The sequence below is a fragment of the Homo sapiens genome, chromosome 8 (genome assembly GCF_000001405.40).
Source record: "Homo sapiens chromosome 8, GRCh38.p14 Primary Assembly".
NCBI classification, from domain to species: domain Eukaryota; kingdom Metazoa; phylum Chordata; class Mammalia; order Primates; family Hominidae; genus Homo; species Homo sapiens.
Genome location: NC_000008.11, coordinates 8,198,933 through 8,215,650, shown reverse-complemented (window position 1 = coordinate 8,215,650; position 16,718 = coordinate 8,198,933). Strand labels below are relative to the sequence as shown.

General features: G+C 44.2%; 1 long non-coding RNA gene and 1 pseudogene across 1 annotated transcript in view; one reads left to right on the top strand and one right to left on the bottom strand.

Moving 5' to 3' along the window:
* Positions 1–16,718, top strand: part of FAM85B (family with sequence similarity 85 member B) — a 126,742-nt gene that overhangs the window by 11,853 nt on the left and 98,171 nt on the right. The gene's annotated exons all lie outside the window — the stretch shown is intronic.
* ENPP7P1 (ectonucleotide pyrophosphatase/phosphodiesterase 7 pseudogene 1) overlaps positions 1–16,718 on the bottom strand; it is a 62,552-nt pseudogene that overhangs the window by 1,266 nt on the left and 44,568 nt on the right.

Below are 16,718 nucleotides of genomic sequence, written 5' to 3'. Positions count from 1 at the left end.
GTCACTCTGTCACTTAGGTTGGAGTGCAGTGGCACAATCTCAGCTCACTGCAAACTCTGACTCCTGGGTTCAAGCAATCCTCGTGCCTCAGCCTCCTAAGTAGTTGGGATTATAGACATGTACCACTATGCCCAGCTAAGTTTTGTATTTTTAGTTGAGATAGAGTTTTGTCGTGTTGGTCAGGCTGGTTTCGAATCCCTGGGCTGAAGTGATCCACTTGCCTTGGCCTCCCAAAGTGCTGGGATTACATGTGTGAGCCACGGCGCCTTGCCCTAATTTTTTTTTTTTTTAATATTTGTAGAGATGAGGTCTCACTAATTTGCCCAGGCTGGTCCTGAACTCCTGGGTTCAAGTAATTCTCCTGCCTCAGCCTCTCAAAGTGCTGGGGTTACAGGCATGAGACACCATGCCCGGCTGGTGGTGAGTTTTAAGATGTCCCAGTGTCTCAACCTGTAGAATGCCAAAAAGTAGATGGCATCTTTGTGAGGATTAAGCAGGCTAGCTTTTTATTTTTTTATTATTATTATTTTTTTTTTGGAGACAGAATTTCTCTCGTCACCCATGCTGGAGTGCAATGGCGTGATCTTGGCTCACTGCAACCTCCGCCTCCTGGATTCAAGTGGTTCTCCTGCCTCAGCCTTCCAAGTAGCAGGGATTACAAAGCCAGCTAGCTTTAAGATACGGTGTTAGGCATCACATTTTGGCATGGAGCAGGCACTCTTTTCTTTGCCCCCAGGTGGGACTAAGCCACCACAAGCCTTCCCTGGTGTGTGCAGTGGGTGATGAATGCTTGCCTGCTCAGCACCCACTTCCTGGTGGGCTGGGTCACATTACTATGACTCCCCCTTGAGCTTCAGTCCGCGCCTGGTTCGAGATTATTGGCTCAACCCGGGGACCCAGAGGTAGGATGTAGCTCTGGCCTGGCCAGAGGACCGAGGATGCTGCATGCCATGGCTACAGCTACTGGTTCAGCTTTGGGCTCATGTCCTAGTCAGAGCCAATGAGATGTAATCTTGGGATATCTGCTGGGCTGTTGGGAAGGGGACAGGCTGCCCTGCACATCCCCATTCCTGATGCTGAGGGATCTGAGAAAATCACTTGTAAAATTTGGGGGTGTTTGGAAGAAGGGGAGATTGATGTCTCTTTCTCTCTACAGACATCTGATCAGCTACAGAGCTTGACTAACCTACCCAGAGGCAGAATGATATGGTGGTTAAAAGTGTGCTCTGGGCCGAGATTTTGCCACTGCACTTCAGCCTGGGTGACAGAGTGAGACTCCATCTCAAAAAAAAAAAAAAAAAAAAAATCTGCTCTGGGCTGGACGCGGGGGCTCACAACTGTAATATCAGCACTTTGGGAGGCTGAGGCAGGAGGATCGCTTGAAGTCAGGAGTTTGGAATCAGACCCTATCTCTAGAAAAATGTTTTTTAAAAATTAGCTGGGTTGGTGGTGAATGCCTCTAGTCCCAGCTACTCGGGAGGCTGAGGCGGGAAGATTGCTGGAGCTTGGGAGTTCAAGCCTGCACTGAGCTGTGATCAGGCCACTGCACTCCAATTTGAGGGACAGAGAGAGACCCCATCTCTCTGAACAACAAAAATGTGTGCTCTGGTGCCACACTGCCTGGTTAGATCCTTTGTCCACCACTTAGATGCATGTTATATAAATGCTCTCCTCAGTTTCCTCGTCTGTAACTTGGGGATGGTAATGCTGCCCCAAGAAGTGGTTATGGGGACTAAATGCATGTGGGCATATTGGTTAGTATTCAACCAGCTTGATTTTTCCTGGAGAGGGAGAAAGAGCATGCAGTGAGGTGGCATGGTCAGGTGCATTGGGACAAGGATTATTTCCTCTGGCTTCTGCCTCCTGGGAGGTATAAGGACGGATCTGAAATCTGTCTGCAGACCCCAGAGTTGGGGACTGCAGAGGGAAATTGAGATCAGGGACCCTAGTCTGGCAGAAATGAGTGCAGCATGGGGCATTGGGTTCCTTCCATCAGAGGCATGGGGTGTGTTGCAGACAGTCATGAAATGTGGCTGAATCTTGCAAGGGACCCGTGGTCCCATGGTTGCTGCTTGAGACAAAGACCCCGGTCAGTGGAACCTGGTGACCTTCACCCTTCTGTGTCAGGCTGCAGACAGCAGGAGATGGCAGCAGATTACACCCAACAGGAAAAGGGCCATTGCCACCCCACAGGTTGCCATAGAAGGAGATGACATCTCTCCCTCTCCTCCTCCAGCAGTGTCAGCTGGGGAAGTGGTGGGTGGATGTGCACAAAAGAGTAGACCACAGACCATGCTCCTTCTCCTCCGGTCTGCTGGGGCCCCAAGAGAGTCTGCAGCCCTTGGCCAAGGACCGGCTGACACAGGGGAACAAAAGACCTGAGGCTGGGATAACATGGTGGTGCAGTTCATCCTCTGGAGCTCCCTGTGAGATCAGACTGGAGCCAGTCTCCAGCTGAGACCACATCTCACTTAGCTCCTTCCCTGCCATATCCTGTTTTCCTTACTCCTATCTCCTGAGACTTCTTCCTGAATGAATTACATGCACTCAATCCCTGCCTCAGTCTCTGCTTTTAGGGAACTTGACCTAAGACAGAAATCTTAGTACCAAATACTTTGCAAGGCCTCAGAAGCTCTGCTATCCACAAGCAGGTGAGATATTACCTTCCCTACAACCTGGCAGTCATAGTCTATGATGCGATTCAGCTTTATGGAAGTGCTTCTCTAAAGAACTTCCCCCAATTTAAGACGATCTTAATTTGCTTACTTGTTTACTGTCCATTTAGCTGCTCTAAAATGTGAGCTCCAAATCAGGGGCCGTGTCTGGTTGGTTACTCATTTCCTGAGACCTGGAATGGGCCTAGCTCAGAGAAGGTGCTCACTATTGATGGAATGCATGTTGAAAGAATGCATGAATCTCATGTCTTTTTGTGGGTGAAAAACTCATCCTATTCTCACCCTGATTAACTTTATTTATTTATTTATTTATTTTTTTTTCAAAATGGAGCCATGATCTGTCACCCAGGCTGGAGTGCAATGGTGTGATCTCAGCTAGCTGAAACCTCTGCCTTCTGGATTAAACCAATTCTCCTGCCTCAGCCTCCTGGGTAGCTGGGATTACAGGTGTATACCACAACGCCCGGCTAATTTTTTTATTTTTAATAGAGACAGGGTTTCACCATGTTGGCCAGGCTGGTCTCGAACTCCTGACCTCGTGATCCGCCCTCTTTGGCCTCCCAAAGTCCTGGGATTACAGGCATGAGCCACCATACCCAGCCACTCTTGATTAACTTAATGGAAATATTTACAGAGATTCTTTCTCTTCTGGGTTCTAACGTCTTATCTGTAACCTCTGCAGGTAATACATTTTCCTTCCTGATGATAGCATTTCTATGGTTGCTTTCACTTGCAAATCCTCTAATACTTATTTATTCCATTTCTGATTGGCATTAGACATAATTCTCAATTTTTAGTGACAGCACTTCGTTTAACTTACATATAAATCGACTTTGCCTTGAAATGTGACATTGACTAGAAGGATGAAACTTCTAACATGCTGTAGAACATAGTTTGACTGGCTAACTTATTATTTAGAAGAAGCTAATATTGCCATTATGAGGGACTTAGGTGACTCTGAAGAACCAGTTGCATTTGTAATGTTTGCAATGTTAAATCACAGATATTGCCAACGTGAAATAGTTTCCATATGCTGTGTTCTCAATACACACCTTTTCCAAAGATATCCCAAGCTGTAGTCTTAGAAGACTGTGATTTTTCTTATTTGTTCTCACAGGAATTTGGGGAGCTATGCGGGATCTCCATAAAATGAGCTCCAGAAAGACACGTGTGCACACACACACACTCACACATGTCCCACACCGCACTTGACTCTGTTTATTTGGGACCCATGATTATCAGAAGTGCTATTTTTAACAAATACTTCTGAGAAATAATCTGAACACTTAATTGGATGCAAAAGAGTGGCTATTTACTCTTCTACCCTTTAATTAGCATAATCAGTGTTTCCAGCAGCAAAAGCAATTGGAAAATCGCTTGTTTTGTTAGGTTCATTCTTCTCCCTTAGCGTAGTGTGGCATCAGCATGGTTATTATTCTTAAATTGCCTCTTTAAAACAAGAGCTGGTGCTTCTTACAGGCAATTCCTAACTCTTGGGTTTTGTAGAGGGTCCAAAACTCTTTAGAACCTATAATTCAAGGAAAGGCTCCACTTTGGTTTTGCATTTTGTCTGGTCTCTTTGGGTGACAGAATTTATGTCACAAGGTGCACATGTTTTGGGGAGGCTCATGGACAGCCCATCGCTCTTGTGCTTTGGTAGGAAATATGTGCAGTTATGGGGAAGGAGTTAGTTACTCATCTAGGGAACAATTGGGTAGAAAGAGATGGACTCCCTGTATTTGAAATTCAGAACTCAAGCTTGGCTCTAAGTGTTTCCTTGCTTTGCTGTGCTCCACGGGAGGCACTGAGCAGAAGGAAGCGAGTTGCCTGAGATTCCTCAAAGCCCGCAGCCCTTTTGGAGGTTACATTGTTATTCTCAGAGCCTTTATGATACATAATAAAGACCTAGCTTGGACCAACATTAGGATGAGTTATCTTGCTATTAACATTCTTTCAGGTAGAAGTTGCTTTTAGGTAGAAGTTGGTCCCATCTTGCTCACAATCCTCCAAAGCTTGGAAGTTACTTTCCAGGAGACTTAGCTTGCACTGAGAGCCGCCCTCCCACCCTCTCTCCAAATTTCCTCTTGGGAGTAGCCTAACAAGGTGCTGTCCCAGACCCTTGCCAGCCACGATGACCCCACCCAGACCATCCCTCTGCTGTTTCACTCTTTGATATTCTCTGGAGCTCTCTGGGGAGGGGTGAGACCTGCTGTCTGGTTTGTACGGTTTGCCCAAGTCTTACAGTCATGGCTGGCTGCCTCTCTCTGAGAACTGGGACTCCTGAACTTGGTGAAATGCCTCAGCCATTGATCATGTGAAATTATCGGTGACACTCATTTAAAATCCGAGTCTGCTCCAGATGGACTCTGACTCTTTCTGCCCTGACTATGAGAGAGAGAGATCGTGAGAGACAGAGACCATGAGAAAGACCGTGAGAGAGAGACACAGAGCTAGAGAGAGAGACCGTGTCCTGACCTGCTGGACAGTGGAGATGCTTGTGGGCTGTGAGCAAGGGATGCAAAGGCTGCCGGGAATCCCATCTTTCCAGCATCATCTGCCAAGGCACATCAGTTCCTGAGTGTCTTGATGGGTTCTGGCAGCATTACTGTCATTGAAGGAAAACATTTTAGCCATATTAAAGGTGAATGCAGCAAGCTACACACAGGCTGCCTGGAAGGGACGCGGGACAAGGGTGGGTTTTCCCTGTGATGGACAGGAGGCAGGCGGCCCTCCCACAGCCCTGCCTGGCAAAGCAGATGTGTCCCAAAAAGGCAATGGGGGCAGCTGGAGTGCTGTGCGGAGGCGGGCTCACCCGGGCCCTGGGTTCGCTCTGATTGCAGCGGTTTCCCGCCAGCTCCTTGGAGAGCTGGCAGATGACCCAGCCCCACAGCAGGAGCTGTGAATGGCAGAACGAGATACAACAATTTGATATCCACTTGCCAGATGAGCCGGGTGTCGTCAGTCGCCTGGCCCTGCGCCAACCTCTTTTTGCACAAACACTTATGAATTCAGCCAGGAGGAAAAGCACTCTGATTATGAATTGAGCAGAAGGAAACAAAGTTCTGCGGATAAACACCAATGAGACAAAAAACCACGAATAAGAAAAATGACAGAAAAGGAGAACCTTCCCAGAAGCCTCCTGCCAGTGAACAGCCACCGTAGCAAGAGCTTGGAGGCCCTGGGTTTTGAACTGTGAGATAAGGAAGATGATGAAAACCTCCCTAGCAGCCAGGCAAGCACAAGATTCCTGTAAAATCCAGGTCTAAGTGTTTTAACCACAGAAGTAATATTATGTCATAGGTGAGAGCTGTGAGTTGCTGAACCCAAAGTGAGTTCAAATCCGAGCTCTGCCTCCTGCTACCTGTGTGTCCTTGAGAAGTTCCAGCACTGCTTTGTGCCTCAGTTTTGTCATCTGTTAAATGGGCATAATCACAGCTCGTGCCTCAGAGTTGTTGTAAATTAATACATGTAAAGCACTGAAATCAGCCTGGTATACAGTTAGTGTTATGAACGTTATTTTCTTGGAAGGACAGAACTTATTTTCATGGTCTAAGCCTGAAAGTCTAAAAAATGTGAGAGAAGAGGAAAGAATCTAGAGTCTCACCATGAGGGAGAAAAGTCAACTTGAAGCAGGACAGGGTCATTGACAATTTCCTGTGATTCTACAGCTGCCTTGTACACTATGGTAGCTCCTGTCCACTTACTGTTTAGATTTTGTGATTTAGAAATGAATTAAGGGTGGGCATGGTGGCACACCTGTAATGCCAGCATTTTGGGAGGCCAAGTTGGGCAGATCACCTGAGGTCAGGCGTTCAAGATCAGCCTGGCCAACATGGTGAAATCTCGTCTCTACAAAAATACAAAAATTAGCCGGGCATGATGGCGGGTTCCTGTAATCCTGGCTACTCAGGAGGCTGAGGCAGGAGAATTGCTTGAACCTGGGAGATGAAGGTTGCAGTGAGACGAGATTGCACCACTGCACTCCAGCCTGGAGGATAGAGTGAGACTCTGTCTGAAAAAAAAAAAAAAAAAAAAAAAATTAGTTAAGAGAAAATTGAAAATTCAGTTCTTCATTCTCCCCAGCCACATTTCAAGGGCTCAAAAGCCCATGTGGGCGGCTAGCAGCTCCCATGTTGGACAGTGCAGAGTAGAGCAAGCCTGCCATTGCAGAATGTTTGATTGGACCATGACTGAATAGTCTATTGCAGTGGTCCCCAATTTTTTTTTAGCACCAAGGACCAGTTTCCGTGTACTTGTTGGGGGGAAGTTTCAGGATGATTCAAGTGCATTACATTTATTGTGTACTTTATTTCTATTGTTATGAACATTATAATATATAATGAAATCATTATACCACTCACCATAATGTAGAATCAGTGAGAGCCCTGAGCTTGTTTTCCTGCAACTAGATAATCCCATCTCCGGGTGGTGGGAGACAGTGACAGATCATCAGGTGTTAGATTCTCATAAGGAGCACACAACCTAGATCCCTTCCACATGCAGATCACAATAGGGTTGGTGCTCCTATCAGAATCTAATGCCACTGCTGATCTGACAGGAGACAGAGCTCAGGCGGTAACGCTAGCCATGGGGAGCAGCTGTAAATACAGATGAAGCTTCACTCATTAGCTCACTGCTCACCTCCTTCTGTGCAGCCCAGTTCCTAACAGGCCACAGACCGCTACTGGTCTGTGGTCTGGGGGATGGGGACCTCTGGTCTATTGGATAACACTAGCTTTGAGGGTACTGATCAGCCAAAGAAGCACTGAGATGATTTGTCCTCCATTAATAAGAATGATGGACTTTTTTTTTTTTTTTTGAGACAGAGTTTTGCTCTTGTTGCCCATGCTGGAGTGCAGTGGCACCATCTCGGCTCACTGCAACCTCTGCCTCCCAGGTTCAAGAGATTCTCATGCCTCAGCCTCCCAAGTAGTTGAGATTATAGGTGCCTGCCACCATGCCTGGCTAATTTTTGTATTTTTAGTAGAGTCGGGGTTTTGCCATGTTGACCAGGCTGGTCTTGAATTCCTGACCTAAGTGATCCACCTGCCTCAGTCTCCCGAAGTGCTGGGATTACAGGCGTGAGACACCGTGCCTGGCCAGATGGACTTTTTTGGAGCATTTAGTTCCAAGCACCTTCCCTGCATTTTCTCAGTTAATCCTCCCAGTGACTCTTTGAAGCAGGGACTATGACAATCGTCATTTCACAGATGGAGCAACTGAGGCACAGAGAGGAAGTCAATGGCCACGGTCGCCCAGCTGAGGAAGGATGGAGCCGGCTGAGATCCTGTTCTGGGGATCTAACTCTGCAGCCTGCATTCTGGGCTGCTGTATTCTCCCTTGTTGCTATCTGACGAGCACAGCATGGGCTCAGAGTACAGACAGGAGGAACCAGCTAATAAGGAGAGGTCTAGGGTGCAGGCTGGTGCCTTGGGGAAGAAGAGAGAGGTCCCATTCTAGAGGGATGGCATTGGAAGTTCATAGTGATAAAACAAAGCCAACAGGTTTTGGGGCTGAGAGTTAAACACACAGCTCTGGTTTCTGCCTTTTCACAGTGGTATGAATGAGCACTGAGAGCCTCTCGAGCTAAAGTTGTCATCATTGCTCTTCATAGTCTGAAGGTGCATGAAATGGTCAACTTTCTTCCAAAGGGCTTTTATGCCTAAGTCTGTGGTTAGTGTATAAACAGATATTTACTGAAGTCCTGCTGGGTGCAGACACTGTGGCCAGCCCTGAGGCTACAGTTGAGATGAAGCTAGTCTCTGTCCTCATGGAGACCTGTCTATTGATAAGAAAAGAGAAAGCTCACTGAGCATTGACCCTGTGCCCACTGCTTTTGATACATCTCTCATTTAATCCTTCTATCAAATCTGTGAAATAAACACATCACCATCATCCTATTTCACATTTAGGGAAACATATGCTTAGAGAGGGTAAGTAACTTGGTCAAGGTCACACAGCTTCGATCTCTCATCCCACAGGCGCAGGAATGGGAGGCAGCAGCTGGGGAAGCCAGAGTCTCTGGCAGTCCTTGTCTCTGGGCGGTGATCCAGAGAGAGAGAGAACACGATTGTCTCAGCACTGGGTCTTCTTCTGAGTCGTCTTGAAGGAGCAATTCCAGAGCGTCTCGGTGTTAAACATCATGTTGTGAATGACTCAGTGATCTCTGACCCAGAGACCTTGGGGATAAAGGAGGGGAGGTACGGAGAACCCGTTTGAATGAATGTTACCGGGGTGTCAGTGTTCTTTGAGGCCACAGGCCATGTGTCACCAAATTGAAGGGGTGGCCTGCCCCTCCACACCTGTGGGTATTTCTAGTCGGGTGGGATGAGAGACGGAGAAAAGAAATAAGACACAGAGAGAAAGTACAGGGAAACAACAGTGGGTCCAGGGGACCGGCACTCAGCACACCAGGATTTGTACGTGCACTGGCCTCTGAGTTCCCTCAGTTTTTATTGATTATGATTTTCATTATTTCAGCAAACAGGAATGTAATAGGAGAGCAGGGTGATAATAAGGAGAAGGTCAACAAAAAACATGTGAGCAAAAGAATCTATATCATAATTAAGTTCAAGGGAAGGTACTATGACTGGACTTGCACGTAGGCCAGATTTATGTTTCTCTCCACCCAAACATCTCAGTGGAGTAAAGAATAACAAGGCAGCGTTACTGCAACATGTCTCGCCTCCCGCCACAGGGCAGCTTTTCTCCTAGCTCAGACTTGAACAAATGTACAATCGGGTTTCCACCGAGACATTCAGTTCCCAGGGGCAAGCAGGAGATAGTGGTCTTCCTCCATCTCAACTGCAAGAGGCTTTCCTCTTTTCCTAATCCGCCTCAGCACAGACCCTTTACGGGTGTCAGGCTGGGGGACAGTCAGGTCTTTCTCATCCCACGAGGCCATATTTCAGACTATCACATGGGGAGAAACCTTGGACAACACCCTGCTTTCAAGGGCAGGGCTCCCTGCGGCTTTCCACGGTGCATTGTTCCCGTGGTTTATTGTGACTAGAGAATGGCAATGACTTTTACCAAGTATACTGCTTGTAAATATTTGGTTAACAAGGCACGTCCTGCACAGCCCTAGATCCCTCAAACCTTGATTTTATACAACACATGTTTTTGTGAACTCCAAGTTGGGGCAAAGTGACTGGGGCAAAGTGGCTGGGGCAAAGCTACAAATGAACAACATCTCAGCAAAGCAATTGTTAGAGTACAGGTCTTTTTCAAAATGGAGTCTCTTATGTCTTCCCTTTCTACATAGACACAGTGACAGTCTGATCTGTCTCTTTTCCCTACATTTCCCGCTTTTCTTTTTGACAAAACCGCCATGGTCATCATGGCCCCTTCTCCCTGGTCGCTGTCTCTCCGGAGCTGCTGGATACACCTGTAGACTAACAATAGAGAGGACAGACATACAAGAATTAATACAAAATTTGCAATAGTGGAATTTCCAATGGTTTTAACCCAAGTGACAGGGTTAAGATTTGTGAGGCTATCAACAGCTTTTACCATTGCCTCCGTTTCTGACACCAGATTTAACTGGGCTTTTGATGTTTCAAAAATTTGTTCTTTCAATTTAGAAATATCTAAGGTAAGATTATCTTCTCTTCCTTGTAGATGGCTTCTAACCATGTCCCAGTGCTGTTCAGATTCATTACAGGCTCGAGGTGTAATAGAAAAATCTGACATATTCCAGTCACACTGTAACTGAAAAAGATATTCTAAGCTCATGAGCCTATCTCCCATCCAAATAACAGTTTGTCTAAGATCATTAATTTGATTTGCCAATTTTTGACCTGTTTGAGTCTAAGAATTCCTCAATTTTGAGGAATTCTTTTGCCAATTATTCACATATTCTGCAGTTTGAACAGAGGAGTGTAAAGCAATTCCAGCAGCCGCAGCAGTAGCTGTGACTGCAATAAGACCCATAATCACTGCAATCAAAGTAAAAATGAATCTTTTAAATCTAATTAGAACTCCTTTTAATACTTAAGGTATGTACGGATGGAGAAGCCTCCCATGGTCGATCCATGGACACAGGGATCCACACGCCTTCTCTTGCCCTTACTAACAGAATAGCATTCTGCCAATCGAAAGTTGAATCAATGCAAGTAAACAATCTACAATTTTCACTGGTTGTAGTTTGGGAATCTGGTTTAATAGCTATGTTTTCTACAACTAGCATATAAGGGGGTTTTACACAACTTTGCAAAGGAATTTTCAGATTGGAATTTAGGTTAATAGTTAATATGGCTTATGATTTCTTGTTCCCATAACTTGATTTCCAGACCAAATTCTAATGTGGTACGAGGCCACAGTGAGCTTCCATAATTCTGGGTGTTCAGGACCAAAAACAGGACTAACTAACTTTGGTCGGGGTGATGAAATCCTCTTTTCACCCCATTTCCATGGATAGGGTGATTCTAGCCTTCTATAAACCTGGTCTAGCCTTTTAGTTAAATCACTATCACAGGCCGGATTAGTGGGCCAGACACATGGGGCCTGTGAACATGAGTGGGTCTGGCCCATACAGTCATAATATAATTGGCCTTGAGGGGCCTAGTCTATAATAGTTTCAAATTTATTGTTTTGTAGTACCACTGCAGTATCAGCCACACATTCTTCCCAAACTAAGACTACTGGGTCTTTTGATTCTTTTGGAATTTCCTTGGGGCATGGTTTCCCTTTAGGCCTAAATTTTAATGATCTTTGATAGGAAGAATTCTGTAAATTATTCATTTGTGACCTGAGCGACATTCCTCTTATCATATGATAAGTAAATTTACTGGTGGCACTGACAGTAGGTACTTCTATCAACCAAGTTTGGATTGTAGGCATTAAGCATCCTGGTGCTTTTCCCAGGCAAATAGGAGGATAATGATACCCAATGGAAATGTTTATCATCATTCCTTTTTCTTCAGGTTGGGCAGGGCCACGGTCATCTGTGGGGCCTGGTACCCATGCACTGTTATTAACATATACTTCAATAGGATTATCTATCCAAGTGACTGCTCGAATTAAGGGTGGGAAAATCACATAGGCCCAGTAAGTATAGTTAGCTGTAGCGGCTCCTGAAGACATAGGGAGACTTACCACCGCTGATACAATCATTAAATCTGCAAGTAGCATATTCTCTGGAGTTTGTGTTACCCTTGTGTTTTCCAGGCTTTTTTCAGCTAACTGTGTCAGCTTCTTTAGCTGGGCCCAGGTCGGCGGCCCCACTTTCTTGGTGGATGGCAACTTCATCTGTTCTTCTGATATCACCATTTCGTTCACCCTGCGAGTCGATGATGTTCGATTGCGGGTTCTCTGTCTCTGCGGAGGTGCCTTCCCTTGCACCTCTGATGGGTTCATTGTAGAACTTCAAATGTCTAGTGGGTACCCAAAGAGGAAGCTGATTTTCTGCTGCTGGAACACAAGCAAAACCTCACCCCCATGTTATCACCTTACCTATTTCCCATGTTTTATTTTTGTTGTCTTTCCACCAAATCAGTTTTCCCTCATGTGGGCTGTTCTTTTTACCAGTAAAATGTTGTTCTGCAGAAGTAGTGGTCTGATTTCTATATATATTTAAAAAATTTAAAGTATAGAGTGCTAGATTAAGTTGCATCTGGGGAGTATTGTACTCCTTACTTTTTCCTTCTTTTGTTTAACCAATTGAGCTTAGAGTGTTCTATTAGTTCTTTCAATTATGGCCTGTCCTTGGAAATTAAGGATTCCTGTTGTATGTGTAATTTTCCACTGATTTAAGGATTTTTGAAATGCTTTACTACAGTATCCTGGCCCATTACCTGTTTCAATTTTTTCTGGAAATCCCATGACTGCAAAACAAGATAATAAATGTCTTTTAACATGGGAAGTACTTTCTCCTGTCTGGCAGGTTGCCCATATGAAATGTGAATAAGTATCAACTGTCACATGGACAAATGACAATTTTGCAAATGAAGGTACATGTGTGACGTCCATTTGCCATAATGCATCAGGACATAAACCTCTAGGATTAACTCCTGCCTCTTGAGCGGGCAGGTGTAAGACTTGACACTGAGCACAATGTTGTACAACATTTTTTGCTTGTTTCCATGTGATATCAAATTTGTTTTTTAATCCTGTTGCATTTACATGAGTGAGGGCCTGAAGTTCTTGTGCTTCCATGAAGGCAGATGATACTAGCAAGTCAGCTTGTTCATTTGCCTTAGTTAAAGGCCCTGGTAAATTAGTATGTGCTCGGATATGAGCAATATAAAATGGGAAATTTCTTTTTCTTACAGTTTGTTGTAACAATTTAAACAGCTGATTTAACTGATCATCCATACTATATTTGATTAGGGCTGTCTCAACATCTTTTGTAGCCTGTACTAAATATGCAAAATCTGAAACAATGTTAATAGGCTGATTAAAATCTTGTAACACTGAAATGACAGCAACCAATTCTGCTCTTTGAGCTGAGTGATATTGAGTTTCAATGACTTGTTCTTTTGGCCCAGTGTAAGCCACTTTTCCGTTGCTGGAACCATCAGTAAACACCGTCAGAGCATTTTCTAGAGGTTTTTGTCTGGTAATTTTAGGTAAAATCCAAGTAGTCAATTTCAAAAACTGGAAGATTTTTGCTTTTGGGTAATGATTATCAATAATTCCCACAAAATCAGCAAGACCAATCTGCCCTGCACCAGAATTGATAAAGACTTGTCTATCCTGTTCCTTGTTTAAAGAAACAATGATTTTATCTGGGTCATTTCCACACAATTTTACTATTCATAGTCTTGCCTGACCAATTAATGTAGCCATTTGATCTAAGTACAATGTAAAAGTCTTAACTGTACTGTGAGGAAGGAATGACCACTCCACAAGATCTGTATTTTGAACAATAATGCCTGTTGGAGAATGTGCAGTAGCAAAAATTAAAAGTTGGAGTGGGGCTAAGTGATCTATTCTATTTACTTTTGCTGACTGAAATTTTTCTTCAACTAATTCTATTTCTTTAGTTGCCTCTGGAGTTAATATTCTTTTACTATTTAAGTCTGGATCCCCTCTCAAGATAGAGAACAAATTTGACATGGCATAAGTAGGGATGCCTAGAGTTGGCCGAATCCAATTAATATCTCCTAGCAATTTTTGAAGTCATTTAATGTTCTTAATGTGTCTTTTCTTATTTCTACTTTTTGTGGTTTAATTTTTCTCTCCTCTACCTGCATTCCCAAATAATGAAAAGGAGTGGAGATCTGAATCTTATCAGATGCTATTGTCAGGCCTGCGTTTGCAACCTCTGTCTGCAGAAATGTGTAACAGTCAATTAATTTGTCTCTTGTTTCTGCAGCACACAAAATATCATCAACATAATGAATGATATAACAGTCTGAAAACTTGTCTCTAACTGGTTGAAGAACTTGAGCTACAAAAGTCTGACAAATAGTTGGACTATTAAGCATTCCCTGAGGCAACACTTTCCACTGAAATCTAGTGGCTGGTTCTTTATTATTTATGGCTGGTATAGTGAAAGCCAATTTTTCAAAATCCTGTTTTGCCAGAGGAATGGTAAAAAAGCAATACTTCAGATCAATTATAATTAAAGGCCAGTCTTCGGGGATCATGGCTGGAGAGGGCAGCCCAGGTTGGAGAGGCCCCATGGGTTGAATTACTGCATTAACGGCTCTTAAATCAGTTAGCATGCGCCATCTGCCTGATTTTTTCTGAATTACAAACACAGGAGAATTCCAAGGCGAAAATGAATGCTCAGTATGTCCCTTTTCTAATTGTTATTTTGCCAATAAGTGTAAGGCCTCCAGCTTTTGTTTTGGTAGTGGCCACTGATTTACCCATACAGGCTTTTCTGTTTTCCAAGTTAATGAAATGGGTTTTGGAGGCTCTACAGTGGCCACCCCTAAAAAGGATACCCTAGTCCTTTTCTTTCTGGATTTCCCTTAGCCTCAATTGGAACTTTAATGCCTTCTCCATTTTTCCCTAGTCCTTTGCCAGGGAGCTATCCCATTTTAGTCATGATTTTTTGACTCGTGGGGCTGTACAGAGAGACTGGAATAGTAATCTCTGCATGCCACTGTTCTAATAAGTCTCGGCCCCATAAATTAATTGGAATAGAAGTAATCATAGGCTGAACTGTACTCTCTTGATTATCAGGTCCTAGACAATGTAAAATCCTGGCACTTTGATACACTTCTGAGGCAGTGCCCACACCAACAAGTCCTGTAACAGGCTTTTGTTTAGGCCAATTTTTTGGCCATTGATTTAAGGCAATGATAGAAACATCAGACCCAGTATCCACTAATCCTTCAAATTGTTTTCCATGAATAGTAACTGTACACACAGATCTATTCTCTGAGAGCTGACTAGCCCAATAAACAGCTTTTCCAGCAGTGTTGGTACTTGCAAACCCTCCTGTTCTTTCTGTTTTGCTATCCCCAATTTTAATATAAGGCAAGAGCAGTAATTGAGCAATTCTATCACCTGGATTGGCACTCCAGGGAACAGTACAGCTGATCACTAACTGAATTTCCCCTTTATAATCTGAGTCAATTACCCCAGTATGAATTTGAACTCCTTTCAAATTTAGACTAGATCTTCCTAAAATAAGGCCTACCATCCCTTGTGGCAGCGGGCCATATACCCCTGTAGGAATCTTTTGCAGGGGCTCTCCACGGAGTAAAGAAATCATTTGAGTAGAACATAAATCTACTGCAGCACTGCCTGCTGTGACAGAGGATAATTGTCGTATTGTAATTGGCTGATTTCCTGAAATGGTGGTATTTACTGTGGGGGTTGTTGTCCCTGAAAACCCTGAGGAACAAATGGCTGAATCGGGAATGCCCCACTTTGTTGCGGGGCCTGGGGCTGGCCCCTCTTGCCGTTTCCCGACAATGGTTGTCCATTTTTATCAAATTTAGAACGACATGCCTTAGCCCAATGTTTTCCTTTTCCACATCTTGGACACAGGCCAGGTGGCTCTTTTTTTTTTTTTTTTTTTTTTTTTTTTTGCTGTTTATTTAAGCTCGGGCAATTCTTTTTTAGATGACCGATTTGACCACAATTATAACATTTTCCCCCAAATGTTTTAACTTGTCCTCCTATAGCAACCCCTGTAATTGCTTGAGCCAATGGCATTGCCTTATGCATAGCTCCTCCAATCCCATCACAAGCCTTCACATATTCTGTAATTACATCAACTCCTGCTGAAACATTTCCTCTTAATGGCTTTATGGCTGATTGACACTCTGAATTTGCGTTTTGATAAGCCATTATTTCTACAATAACTTTTCGGGCGTTACCTGCAATGGATTTTTGAGCTGCATCTTGCAACCTTGCCACAAAGTCTGGATATGGCTCTTTAGAGCCTTGTCTGATTGAACTAAAAGAAGGGCATGAGGTTCCTGGGTCCTGAATGTTTTCCCAGGCCCTGAGGCAAATAGCCCTTACAGTTGTTCAATAGCCTCATTTTCATTACTGATTGTTGGTTAATAGTGTCCCAGTTTGGACCTCTTCCTAGCAATTGGTCTTCATCTATATAAGCAACAGGATTAGTAGCCTGATTTTTTCGTACCTGTTCTTGTACCCCATCAATCCACCAGGTTTTAAACTGGAGATACTGAGAGGGTGAAAGGGAAGATATAGCCAGAATTTCCCAATCATAAGAAATAAGTCTATTTCCATGAGCAATGGAATTTAATAATATTCTCGTATAAGGAGAGTTAGGTCCATATTGTTTAACTCCTGCTTGACTCCCTTTCCCGGCCGGCATCGGTTGTAACATTACCGGATATTGCCATGCCTCAAGATCTCCCTGTTTTCTGGCTGTAGCAATGGTCTCATGCAGTGCACTATCTTGTCCACTAGGTGGTACCGTAAGATCAAACGCCATCGCCGTGGGTTGATATAGTGCCTTGCTATTTGGCACAGGACGCACCGCCTGAGATCCATACTGAACCTCTGGAGACGGCGGATACTGAAATGCGGCTGGCGGCTGGTGTTGATAAACTACCGATGGTTGGGTTTTATTTTCTACTGGCTGGTATTGCGGATACTGTGCCTGGA